General features: G+C 44.7%; 1 protein-coding gene across 11 annotated transcripts in view; it reads left to right on the forward strand.

The window, feature by feature from the left end:
- The window catches only part of ANXA4 (annexin A4), a 183,305-nt gene that overhangs the window by 156,918 nt on the left and 12,901 nt on the right, over positions 1–13,486 (forward strand). For 9 of the 11 annotated variants that reach the window (XM_047444083.1, XM_017003943.2, XM_024452835.2 and 6 more), the window contains 5 exons: positions 3,808–3,902; positions 5,660–5,773; positions 7,181–7,271; positions 9,869–9,948; positions 11,928–11,984. In XM_047444083.1, coding sequence (XP_047300039.1) covers positions 3,808–3,902; positions 5,660–5,773; positions 7,181–7,271; positions 9,869–9,948; positions 11,928–11,984 — 437 coding nt within the window. Of the gene's footprint in view, positions 1–2,667; positions 2,791–3,807; positions 3,903–5,659; positions 5,774–7,180; positions 7,272–9,868; positions 9,949–11,927; positions 11,985–13,486 lie in introns of all 11 variants that reach the window. The other 2 variants (NM_001320702.2, NM_001320700.2) reach the window with 2 other exon arrangements.

Below are 13,486 nucleotides of genomic sequence, written 5' to 3' on the forward strand. Positions count from 1 at the left end.
GGAGGTCTAGGGGAGTCATGGTAAATCCACAGAAAAGTGTCTTGCAGCAGTGAAGTGGCCTCGTCTGGGGTGACACCCATGGTTTGTTGTCTCACGGCCACAGATATCAAGGACGTAGACACACAAAGAGTGAGGTTAAGAGTGGAAGTTTAATAGGGAAAAGAAAGAGACTAGCTCTCTGCTACAGAGAGGGATTCCAGAAAAATGGGTTACCAATTCACGGTGAAATGCAGAGGGGTTTATAGATGAGCTGTGGCAGGCACTGGGGGTTGGGGGGCTGATGTCTGATCTACATAGGGCACCAAAAACCAGTTAGAAACAGGTGTGCTATCTGCATAGGGCATGAATCTCTGACAGTCCCTACCCCAGTCTTTTATTATGCAGGTGGGTTTTCAGCCTGAGCTGTACTGTATTGGTCATTTCTTTCTTACTGTACACATGCTAACAAAAAAGGGAAGGTGGAGTTTCCATGGTGGACATGCCTGGCCCCCAGGTAGCCCTTTTCTGTTGGTACAGCGGCCAGCATTCCCTTGTGCAAGCTTTCAGTTTCCTTATCTACGTTTGTAGCTTGATTTTTCAGGCTGCTCTTTGTTAGAAAAAAAAATGATTTTGGGGGCTGCTTTTTGTTACAAGGGAAGTTCTGCCAAGGACTCTTTTGCCCTCACTATCTGTTTTTTGTTTTTTTTTTCTTTTTTGAGATGGGGCCTCGCTCTGTCACTCAGGCTGTGGCATGCACTGGCATGATCTTGGCTCACTGCAACCTCCACCTCCCGGGTTCAAGTGATTCTCATGCCTCAGCCTCCTGAGTAGCTGGAATTACAGGCCCCCACCACCATACCTGGCTAACTTTTATATTTTAATAGAGACAAGGTTTTACCATGTTGGCCAGGCTGGTCTTGAACTCCTGACCTCAAGTGATCCACCCACCCCAGCCTCCCAAAGTGCTAGGATTACAGGCATGAGCTACCACACCCGACCTGCCCTCACTATCTGCTTAAACAATTTCTTTCTATCTCCTGTATCAGCAGGAGGTACTTGCAAAGCAGAAGTAGGCTGGTTGGGAGCTTTCTGAGAAAGCAGGTACCAGAAGGAGGTTTTAGGGGTGCTACTGAGAAAGCACCCATAAGAATCACAGACATGCGGGAATGACCCACAGGCACTGGCTGGGAAACAACATATGACAGAATCATGATGCTAAATGGAGGGGGTTAAGAGGACATATAAACCAATAGACTGGTAATGAAGGGGGTCAGGAGCCTGGAGTGCAGCACAGTTGGGTAAAGCACAATATTTCAAGAGCTGAGTCCATGAATTTGGCTGCCTAGTGTCCTTTTATGTGGCTATTTACAATAGTGAATGGGATACTGTAGAGAGTCTCAAATGTCAGGCTGCAGTGCCTAAAGTAAATCCAGCAGATGATGGGGAGCCATTGTGTATTTCTGAGCAGGGGAGAGACATTGTGAGAGTTTTTCTTTTTACAAAAATGAATCTGGCAAGACTCTGGGAAGACCAACCAGGAGTTAAGAATACTAGTTAGCAGACATCTGCACTTGTCTAAGAAGAAACCCTGAAATCTTGAATTGGAATGGTTGTGATAGGAAATAAAAAGAGTGAAAGAATGCAAAAGAGGCTGTAAAGCAACATTTTGCATGACCGTGGACTTGAATGAAGAGGAAAGGAGAGGGTAAAAAAATCAAAGCTATTGGGCTGGGTGCAGTGGCTCACGCCTGTAATCCCAGCACTTTGGGAGGCCTAGGTGGGCAGAGCACAAGGTCAAAAGATCGAGACCATTCTGGCCAACAAGGTGAAACCCCGTCTCTACTAAAAACACAAAAATTAGCTGGGCGTGGTGGCGTGCACCTGTAGTCCCAGCTACTGGGGAGGCTGAGGCAGGAGAATCGCTTGAACCCGGGAGGCAGAGGTTGCAGTGAGCCGAGATGGCACCACTGCACTACAGACTGGCCACAGAGCAAGACTCTGTCTCAAAAAAAAAAAAAAAAATTGAATCTATTTTGAGGATTTCAGCTTGGCTTGACTGGGGGGAAGAGTGATCCCTTTCACAGAAACAGGGAATGAACAAAAGGTAATGAACCCTCTCTGCCCCTTCCACACCCCCTCCTAGCTGAGAGTGCCAAGGGAGAAATTGATTGTTATATGGATTGTCCTCTCCTTTTTAAAAATAGGAACACGGCTGGGCATGATGGCTCATGCCTGTAATCTCAGCACTTTGGGAGGCTGAGGCAGGTGGATCGCCTGAGGTCAGGAGTTCAAGACCAGCCTGGTCAACATGGTGAAACCCATCTCTAGTAAAAAATACAAAAAAAAATTAGCCAGGCATGGTGGCAGGCACCTGTAATCCCAGCTACTAGGGAGGCTGAGGCAGGAGAATTGCTTGAACCTGGGAGGGAGAGGGAGTGAGCTGGACTGCACTCCAGCCCGGGTGACAGAGCGAAACTCCATCTCAAAAAAAGAAAAAAAAAAAAGGAACAGAAAGTAGGTCCCCAAGGTATGTAAACTTAAAGTTCTATAGCTTCCTCTCCACACCTCACATCTTTTTGCATCTCTAACCTTGCCAAGGATAACTAAAGTTTGGCTGTATTTTTTCATTTCTCCCTGAAATATTTTCAATAGAATCATTTCTGAAACCCATTCCAACCCCCCATACAGCACAAACAACGAGGAAACAGAAGATTCACCAAACATTTATGAACAGCCAGCTGTTATAAAGACAAGGGACCAATCTGAAAAATCAGAATAAAGTCTCCTTGTTAAAGCTGCTGCAAGAAACAGGCAAGCAAAACTTAGAACATTTTTAATTTGTAATTTTTGCTTAAAGTTTTGGTAAGATGTTGTATCATGGTAATTTGTCAGCAGTTCTAAAAGGGAACCATTTGTGTTCAGGAAAGATAGCTTAGAAGTGCAAAACATAGTTCCAGATTTTAAAACACAGTGAATGCAGTAACAGCCAACTTAAACTCTGCAAAATGCCAAATTGGTGAATTAACAGACAAGTTTGAATTGTTTCAAAACTCAGAGGAGATGATAAAAAGATAAAAACAAAAAAAAAGGCAAGAATATGGAAGAGAGAGAGAGGAGATTCAAAAGACATGAAAAGAATTCTAGAGGAGATGGCTGGGCGTGGTGTCTCACACATGTAACCCCAGCACTTTGGGAGGCCGAGGAGGGCAGATCATTTGAGGTCAGGAGCTCAAGACCAGCCTGGTCAACATAGTGAAACCCTGTCTCTACTAAAAACACAAAAATTCGCTGGGGGTGGTGGCACAGCCCTGTAATCCCAGCTACTCAGGAGGCTGAGGCAGGAGAATCGCTTGAACCCAGGAGGCGGAGGTTGCAGTGAGCTGAGATCGCGCCATTGCACTCCAGCCTGGGTGACAGAGTGAGACTTTCTCTCAAAAAAAAAAAAAAAAAAAAAATATTCTAGAGGAGAGAAAAAATTACTCCAGCCAACATTTATTAAATGTTTAGTAAGTGCTAGGCATTTAATTATATTAACACTTGCAGCAGCCTATCGAGGGAAATCACTGTCATCATTCACATTTGCAGATAAGGAAACTAATGTTTAGAAAGTTAACCATTTTCTTCAGTAGTAAACAGCTAATTAAAGGAGAGGCTAAGTCCCGAACCTAGCATCTGTTTCCCAAAAAGTAGACAAACCCTCTGAATAAGGGCCTCTTTTCTTAGAAAGCCCTCTGCATGTGTTTGGGTAACTCCAATGTCCACAGAGGAACCTGCTTTCTCATTCCTCTCTCAAATCACACTTACCTGCTGTCTCCCTTCTTCCCCCAGGCACCGATGAAGACGCCATTATTAGCGTCCTTGCCTACCGCAACACCGCCCAGCGCCAGGAGATCAGGACAGCCTACAAGAGCACCATCGGCAGGGTAGGCCACAGTCTTTCCTGCTCTGTCTGGCTGACTTCGCAGCAACAGGAAGCAGGGCCTCTTCCTGATCTAGGTTCCCGAAGTGACCTTGTGTTTTAAAAGATCGATCCTTTGTCTTGTTTAAAGATGTTCTTGAGGCCAGGTGTGGTGGGTCACACCTGTAATCCCAGCACTTTGGGAGACCGAGGTGGGTGGATCACTTGAGGCCAGGAGTTTGAGACCAACCTGGCCAACATGGTGAAACCCCATCTCTCCTTAAAAAATACAAAAATTAGCCGGGCATGGTGCTGAGCACCTGTAATCCTAGCTACTTTGTAGGTTGAGGCAGGAGAATTGCTTGAACCAGGAGGTGGAGGTTGCAGTGAGCCAAGATCATGCCACTTCACTCCAGCCTGGGCAACAGAGACAGACTCCATCTCAAAAAAAAAAAAAAAAAAAAAAAAAAGAATAGCGATTCAGCTCCTTCTTCGTCAATTGATCTTAAACAAGTTCTTAAACTCTCTGACCCATTCCAGGAGGAAATGTGAATAAACATCTTTAGAATTTGGTCCATTTTCCAAATAATTATATTTGGAAACTATATCTCAGGAATTGAGCCTTAAGAAATAGTCATGAATGATCACAAAGATACAACTAAATGCCTTATGTATATAACAGTAGAAAAATAGAAACAGGTGACTAGTTAAAGAAATTAGGCTGGGTGTGGTGGCTCACACCTGTAATCCTAGCACTTTGGGAGGCCGAGGCGAGTGGATCACTTGAGGTCAGGAGTTCGAGACCAGCCTGACCAACATGGTGAAACCCCGTCTCTACTAAAAATACAAAAAAATTAGCTGGGCATGGTGGTGGGCACCTGTAATCCCAGCTACTTGGGAGACTGAGGCAGGAGAATCGCTTGAATCCAGGAGGCGGAGTCTGCAGTGAGTCAAGATCGTGCCACTGCGCTCCAGCCTAGGCAACAGAGCAAGACTCCATCTAAAAAAAAAAAAAAAAGAAATTATGTTGCACCTATCTATAGAAATCTCCACAGCTGCTAAAAAGGTTATCAGTGAATATTGACTTGGAAGTATATTCAAGACATATTGTTAAGTAGGCAAATACATTTACATCGGTGTCTACAAACATATTCACCTCAAAGTTCCTTTACCTCTTAAATTTTTTAGGACTTTTGGTTTTGTGGGTTATATCTTTTGATATTTGCCCTATTAGAAACTAAAACTGAGGGCATTTAAAAATAGATATTTGTTAACTTAGTAAAAATAATAAGTATATTGTATGTTACTGTAAATAACATTTTAATGAAAAATAGCTATATATCCCAAAACGAAAAAACATTTAGTGAGAAGATTGGCATTGTTTTACATTTTGCAGATCTCTTTAATGTCTGGCTTAATGGAAGACAGATGGCTTCTCATATCTATTTCTACTTCAATTTGTTATGATATGTGGTTTTGGTTGGGGTATATGAAGAAAATCTGGCTTGTACAGATATGTACTTGAAAATGGGGGGAGTATTTGAACAGACAGTTGTTGATGCACAGACAATGTCAAATAGCCTTAGGAAAACCCCACTGTATGCTTGTGGAAGAATGACAGTGAAAAGGCAAATAACATCTGAGTGTTATTCTGAGGATAGTTTTGACTTGCAGGCCCCTTGAAAGGGTCTTGGAGACCCCAGACATCCCTGGACCACACCTGGAGAGTAGCTGGTCTAATTTGCTATAGCAGTTAAGCGGAGCTACTTTCTTGCATTGCAGGACTTGATAGACGACCTGAAGTCAGAACTGAGTGGCAACTTCGAGCAGGTGATTGTGGGGATGATGACGCCCACGGTGCTGTATGACGTGCAAGAGCTGCGAAGGGCCATGAAGGTCTGTGCTCTTCCTCTCGTGCTCTTGGTGCTGTTGGTGCAAACGCTGATGTGCTTTCTTAAGAAACTGTCACCCAATAAGAAAGACATGGAAGCAACCTAAACGCCCATCAATGGTAGACTGGATAAAGAAAATGTGGTACATGTACACCATGGAATAGCTGTAAAAAGGAACAAGATCATGTCCTCTGGAGGAACATGGATGGAGCTGGAGGTCATTGTCCTTAGCAAACTAAGGCAGGAACAGAAAATCAAATACCATATGTTTTCACTTACAAGTGGGAGCTAAATGATGAAAACACATGGACACATAGAGGGGAACAACACACACTGGGGCCTGTTGGAGGATGGAGGGTGGGAGGAGGGAGAGGATCAGGAAAAATAACTAATGGGTACTAGGCTTAATACCTGGGTAATGAAATAATCTGTACAACAAACCCCCATGACACAAGTTTATCTATATAACAAACCTGCACATGTACCCCTGCACTTAAAGTAAAAGTTAAATTTTTTTAAAAAAGAAAGAAACTATGACCAAGGCCTTCTGAGAGTAGCAGGTGTAAAGTATAGGAGATTTTCCTTCATTTACGACAACTTGAAAACATCATTACTTTACATTATACCAATTATAATTTAAAAGTTCTTTTCCAAAAAGTTAGGGAATCATTTGCTCCTTCCTGTGGCTCAATGGGGAGTGATTATAATTGTCGCTTTTAGTACAGCTCTAGAGACTTTTAGCTATCTCTAGACAGCTAACTACTTTTGAGATATGTAACTTTATGACTGACACTTTAGGGGCCTCCAGGTCTACTATAGGCTTACTTCTGGCAAAAGAGTTCCTGGCTTCCCTAGATGACGTACCCACTGTGCCCTAGCCTGGTCTGCCAAATTTTAATGACCAAGTATGTAATGCAAATATAAATGGTCCCCACCTTAGGATGGTTCTACTTAAAAATTTTCAGTGTATTGTACTCCTCATCATAAGTCGAGGAGTACAATTATCCTCCTCAACCATGTCAATAAATACTCAGACTTGTGGAAGGTTCTGGGCCAGGCTCTGGGAAAGCAAAGAGGTGACAAAGTCTTTGCCAGAAAATTCTGCCCTTCAGAGGAAGAGAGCAGAAGAGGTCAAGGAAAAATTAAGTCCCCAGAGGGCAGAAACCATACCTACCCGGGCACAGTAACGAACACATAATAAACAGCCTAGAAATGTTTGTTATTACTCATAATTGTTACGGCAAACACTTTGGGTTTCGGGTGGGACAATAAAAGTGAACAAACCCTGTTGTTAGAACGCAGTGGATTGTCTTTATTCTCTGCAGATTCATGACAGATGTATTCCTTCTGTGTCTGGGCCTCAGCTTTGTAAACTGGCTCATATAGCCCTGTCCTCTGGTTTCTTGTTTAGGGAGCCGGCACTGATGAGGGCTGCCTAATTGAGATCCTGGCCTCCCGGACCCCTGAGGAGATCCGGCGCATAAGCCAAACCTACCAGCAGCGTACGTGACATCCGCAGTGGCCCTGGCTGAGGTTTCGCTGTGATTAGAGAATGAGGGTAGCAGCGGGTTGTTGTTTGCTGATTAGACTTTTCACAGAACGCTGAGCATGAGGGATCCTCGGTGCCAAGCTCTGCTTCGAGGGAGATCCCTGTTTAGCCAAATGGCGGTCTGTTGGCTCCTTAAGATTTCTCAGGTGAAGATGACACTCTATTTTGCCTACCCAGTGCAGTATTTTATTACCCTAAAAGTTGGAAAGTTGTTCCTTATTATCAGACAAAGAATCTAAGGTACTTGTTCAAAAGTGGTGGCACCAGCAGATCTTAGCATTCCAAGGAATGGTCTGGAGGGGCCGTCTGGCCCAAATTCTTCCCTTCAGACTGGACTGTACGTCCTCCAGCCAAATCAGAATGACAGCCATTCACTCCCCCTTAGAGACCTCCAGAGGGTGATACGTATGAAGTGCCTTTAAAAAATGCCTGACTTTTTGCCCTAAGAATATAACTAAAAATGCACAGAGGTTCAGATCTCACAGTGTTTATTCAGCATTGTCTACATTAGCTAAAAATGCCCAAGAGTAGCAGATTGTCTAAACAAAATATTATACACTTACACAATGAACTATTATGTAGTCATTAAAACTTATATTAAAGAGTATTTTTTTCTTTTATTTAGCCTTTTTTTTTGAGACAGGGTCTCACTCTGTTGCCCAGGCTGGAATGCAATGGCCCCATCATAGCTCACTGCAACCTCGACCTCCTGGGCTTCAGCAACCCACCCACTGCAGCCTTCTGAGTAGCTGGGACCACAGGTGTGCGCCACCACACCCAGCTAATTTTTGTATTTTTTGTAGAGATGGGGTTTCGCCATGCTGCCCAGGCTGGTCTCAAACTCCTGGGCCCAAGCAATCTGCCCACCTCCGCCTCCCGAAGTGCTGGGATTACAGATGTGAGCCACTACACCTGGCCAAGAATACTATTAAAATATTTATTAAATGGTTTGGTATATGTAAGTGAAAAAGACAAGCCATAAAATAGTATGCTATGATCCCATTTTTAAAAAATTAACACAGTTAATAACACAGTATTTTTTAAATAAATGAAAATAATTTGTGCATGTGGGGGAAAATGAGGAAGGATATTTACAGAAATGTTGTCAATGATTCTTATTTCTGGGTGATTAGACTGCAGTGGAGTTCCTCGCCTTGCCCCTTCTTTTTACTTATTTGTTTTTTCCTAAGCCTTCTGTGGTCAACATGTGTTACCTTTATAGAAAGAAAACAACCACAATAAGAGCTTTGTGGGAAGTGTTCAGAGCAGGAGATTCTAAACCTTAGGAGTCTGGATTTAGCAACCCAATCCCCACATCTGCCCAATGAGGGTTTTCTTCCCTGAGGGCTGTGAAGGGCTGGAGCTTCTCTTTTCGTTTTTGCTTTTTAAAAATTAATTATGAAGAAGTGATTTTTAATTTCTTGCTGAAGCTCCCCCTGCCTATTTTTTTTGACACAGGATCTCGCTCTGTGGCCCAGGCTGGAGTGCAGTGGCATGGTCATGGCTCACTGCAGCCTTGACCTCCCCAGGCTGAGATGATCCTCCCACCTCAGCCTCCCCTGTAGCTGGTACTACAAGCATGCGCCAACATACCCAGCTAATTTTTGTATTTTTTGTAGAGATGGGGGTTCACCATGTTGCCCAGGCTGGTCTCGAACTCCTGGATTCAAGCAGTCTGCCCTCCTCAGCCTCCCAAAGTGTTAGGATTACAGGCATGAGCCACTGCGCTCGGCCGTGGAGCTTCTCATGGATAACCTGTCAGAACCTCCCAAGTGAGAGACGTGGCAGAGAGGCATATGCTAGGATTTGCATTTGACAGCGCTCCAACCCCAGCCCCACCTCAAAGCTGGGTTCAGAAGCTCCTATCTGGTTGCTTTCCATCAGTGAAGCAGCAGAGGCTGCTCCACAGCTGTGGTTCCCTCTGTGTCACTGAGAACCACGTTCAGATCGGACCCCTGGGTGGCAGGAAGCACAGAGGGAGGATTTCAGACCCAGCTTTTTCAACCCCACATTTTAAGAAACAGGAATATCTTGGCTGGGTGCGGTGGCTCACGCCTACAATCCCAGAACTTTGGGAGGCCAAGGCAGGCGGATCACCTGAGGTCAGGAGTTCACGACCAGCCTGGCCAAAATGACAGAACCCTGTCTGTACTAAAAATACAAAAATTAGCTGGGCATAGTGGGGCACACCTGTAATCCCAGCTACTTGGGAGGCTGAGGCAGGAGAATTGCATGAACCCAGGAGGCAGAGGTTGCAGTGAGCTGAGATGGTGCCACTGCACTCCAGACTCCATCCAGCCTGGGCAACAGAATGAGACTCCATCTCAAAAGAAACAAAACAAAAACAGGAATATCGTGTGACAGGATAAGCTGATCTTGACCATTTTACCAGAGTTTAGTTTTTGAAAAACTGTGTGTGGGGTGAAAAAACCTCATGATAAGCTGCTTCCATAAGCAGGCTGGTCTTGAGGGGACAGATTGCTCTGGAGTGTGACAGGGCATTGGGCAAGACTCTTAATTCTGAAGTAGCTAATTTCACTCTCTTGCTAGAATATGGACGGAGCCTTGAAGATGACATTCGCTCTGACACATCGTTCATGTTCCAGCGAGTGCTGGTGTCTCTGTCAGCTGTGAGTGACTGCTTCTGATGGGGGGCGGGTTTTATCGAAATGTCCACTCTATCCCCTTTGCCAGCCTTTCTCATCCTTTCAGCCCCTGACATGTGGATATTCCCCAGGTAGTGTTCTCAGACCCCTCTGTTCCTTTATCTTATTTCTCCTTCAGAGACTCTGGCTAATCCTGCCTGCCCATTTTTTCTACTTTAATTTGATATTTACAAGTACCTAACACCTGCCAGGTCCCCCTGTCACTCAGTGCATTGAGAGTTATGAAGATGATTCAGAGGCAGTTCCTGGGCCTTAAGAGTATATATTGTCATAAGGGAATACATCAGGTACACAGTTGCTAGAAGGCATGAAAAGATTACATGCCAAAGGAGAGGCGCATAGGAAAAAGAAGATTCAAGGAGAAAATTTGGTTGTAGAAACAAAGAAAAGCCTTCATGACAGAGATGCTGGTTCAGAGAGGACTTGGAGGATTACTAGAATTTCAAGAGGCAGAGACGTGGGTGGGTGTATTGCAGACAGGAAGAACAGCAAGAATAAGGCAGGGAACATGGGGTTCAGGGAACAACTGGGTGAACAGTTGGGCTGGTGATTCTGGAAACAGGGTGGGAGGATAAACTGGAATTCTATGTTGGGAGCAGTTTACACTTATTTATTTGGGAGCAGTAGATGACGTGATGATGACAACGATGATGGGAGTGATGTGACTGGAGCTGCACTTTCAGAAGAGTAATGTAATAGTGACGTGTAGGATGAACAGTGGAGAGGAACTGGAGGCTGGACGACCAGGTAGGAAGCTACCTGGAAAATTCCAGCTGGAAAATAAAGCAGGACTGAGCTAGGTGGGGCAGGGTTGCCTGAAAAGGGAAGCTGGAGACTTCAGACATTTCACATCACTTCCCAATTGCATCTTTATCCCCGGCCTCCTTCCTGAGCTTGAGACTCTCATTTCACATTGCTTTTTAGATGTTTCATTACAGATATTCTACTATACCCTTAATGAACTGAACCAGAACTCATTTTCCCTTCAAACCAGCTCTTCTTCCGGACTTGCCTGTTTCTGTTAATATTGCTGTTGTTCCTCCTACACCTAAAGAAGCAGAACCCTGGAAATCATCTCCAATTTCCACTTTGCTCTTGTCTCCAATATTTACTTAGTAACGCCTGCCTGTGTCTCATATTTCTTTCCCACTTTCTCTTTTCCTCCCATATTTACCACTCTGATGAGCCATGCCTAGACCATGGAACATCGAGACAGTATAACAATAAAAATAGCCTAAAAACTAGAGGAAAGTAGCCCATTTTATCATTTGTTAGCATTCTTCAGAGGCTTCCACCCTGCCTTCTTGTGAGCTGGTGTTGGTGAGGGGTAGGGGGACATTTTTATGGGATCCTCAAGTCCCACCATAGGTCTCATATTCTCTCGACTCTCCTCTGTTCCCAACCTCCCCACCTTTTTTTTTTTTTTTTTTAAGATTCAAGGTCTTGCTATGTTTCCCAGGCCAGCTCTTCACAGGTGCCATCTTAGCTCACTGCCTTGAACTCCTGGCCTCAAGACATCCTCCCACCTCAGCCTCGAGTAGCTGGAACTACATGCACATCCCGACCCCCTTTTGGCAGAGGTTGATCAATGTAGATTTGCCAGTTAGGAAGGCATGAGTCAGCTGGGAAGACACAGGAGAGTGGGGTGGTGGGGGAGGCCAGGAGATAGTGGAGGGAGCTGTCCTTGGGAAGCTTCTCCTGCTATTGGCAGAGGCACTCATGCAACGTTAGGGGCCACACTGAGGCTCAGCCCTCTAGGCACACATCAGAGCCATTGTAATAATGCGAGCGCATTTAGAGGACGTCTGTCCTCCCTCCCTGGGTCTGAAGCTCCAATTCTTGTGGTATTTTGTCTCATTACTCTAGACCTGCTATCTTAATGGTGTCCCCAGATCTTCATGTATACTCTCGAATTATTTTTTATTTGTTTTTCTCATCCTCAGGGTGGGAGGGATGAAGGAAATTATCTGGACGATGCTCTCGTGAGACAGGATGCCCAGGTTGGTAGAACTGCAGCTTCTTTCTTCCAGCTTTCTTCTCTTTCGCCAATGAGACAGGCCTTAGTGGGTGGATAGCAACTTATATTACAGTGTATATTAGCCAGGCTTGGATATGTTCTTTAAAAATATTCCCACAGATAGCCTTTAATAACAGGTTTCTTGCAGAGGTACCTGGGGCTGGACATCATTATATAAGCACTCCTGGGTTCCAAGTTTCTCAACATTAGGACCATTGTGTGGCAATCCCAGAGAACCACTGTCTTCCGAATCCCGTGGAGGTGAAAGGGACTGTTCACTGTGCACTTTTACTTCATCAAAGAGGACATTTGATAGGACCTATATAAAATAGCTTGACACAGTGTATACCCTGCTGGGTAAAATTAATAGCAAACCCCAAGAGGCATTTGCCTCTCTGTTTCCCAGCCCAGTGATGGTTGTCCTGGAACCAACCCATGGTCTAATCAGCTGTGGCCAGATAACACTAACGATAATAGCTAATAAAAAGTGGGTCATTACCAGGTACCAAACACTGTTCTAAAATTTTTTTTTTTTTTTTGAGATGGAGTTTCACTCTTGTTGCCCAGGCTGGAGTGCAATGGCATGATCTTGGCTCACTGCAACCTCCGCCTCCTGGGTTCAAGTGATTCTGCTGCCTCAGCCTCCCAAATAGCTGGGATTACAGGTGCCTGCCACCATACCCGGCTAATTTTTTTCTATTTTTAGTAGAGACGGGTTTTCACCATGTTGGCCAGGCTGGTCTTAAACTCCTGACCTCTGGTGATCCGCCTGCCTTGGCCTCCCAAAGTGCTGGGATTACAGGCATGAGCCATCGCGCGTGGCCCACTGTTCTAAATTCTATATTAAGTATGTCATTGAATCTTTGCAATAACTTCATAAGGTAAGTATTGCTATCCCCATTTTACAAACAAGGAAACTGAGGCTCAGAGAGGTCAAGTACCTTGCTCAAGCTCAGAAAGATAATAAAGGGCAGAGCTAGGATTTGAACCAATTGGCATCTAGACCCAGTATTCTCTCTCTCTCTCTCTCTCTTTTTTTTTTTTTTTTTTTGAGACAGGGTCTCACTGTCGTCCAGACTGGAGTGTGGTGGTGTGATCTCAGCTCACCGCAACCTCCCCCTCCCAGGTTCAAGCAATTCTCCCACCTCAGCCTCCTGAGTATCTGGGATTACAGGATGCACCACCACCACCCGGCTAGTTTTTGTATTTTTAATAGAGATAGGGTTTCAACATGTTGGCCAGGCTGGTCTTGAACTCCTGACCTCAAATGATCCACCTGCCATGGCCTCCCAAAGTGCCGGGATTACAGGCATGAGCCACCGCGCCTGACCATAGACCCAGTATTCTTAACCAATACATAACCATAATGAGGGATTGGTTCCATTCAGTTTGTGAGGTATGAACAACTTTGTTTTATGCAAAAAAAAAGAACCTGTTGCTTTCATTAGAGGGGATAGAGGTATGTGTGTGGCTTGGGCTTCTTGG

Source organism: Homo sapiens, chromosome 2 (assembly GCF_000001405.40).
Source record: "Homo sapiens chromosome 2, GRCh38.p14 Primary Assembly".
In the NCBI taxonomy this organism is placed as follows: Eukaryota; Metazoa; Chordata; class Mammalia; order Primates; family Hominidae; genus Homo; species Homo sapiens.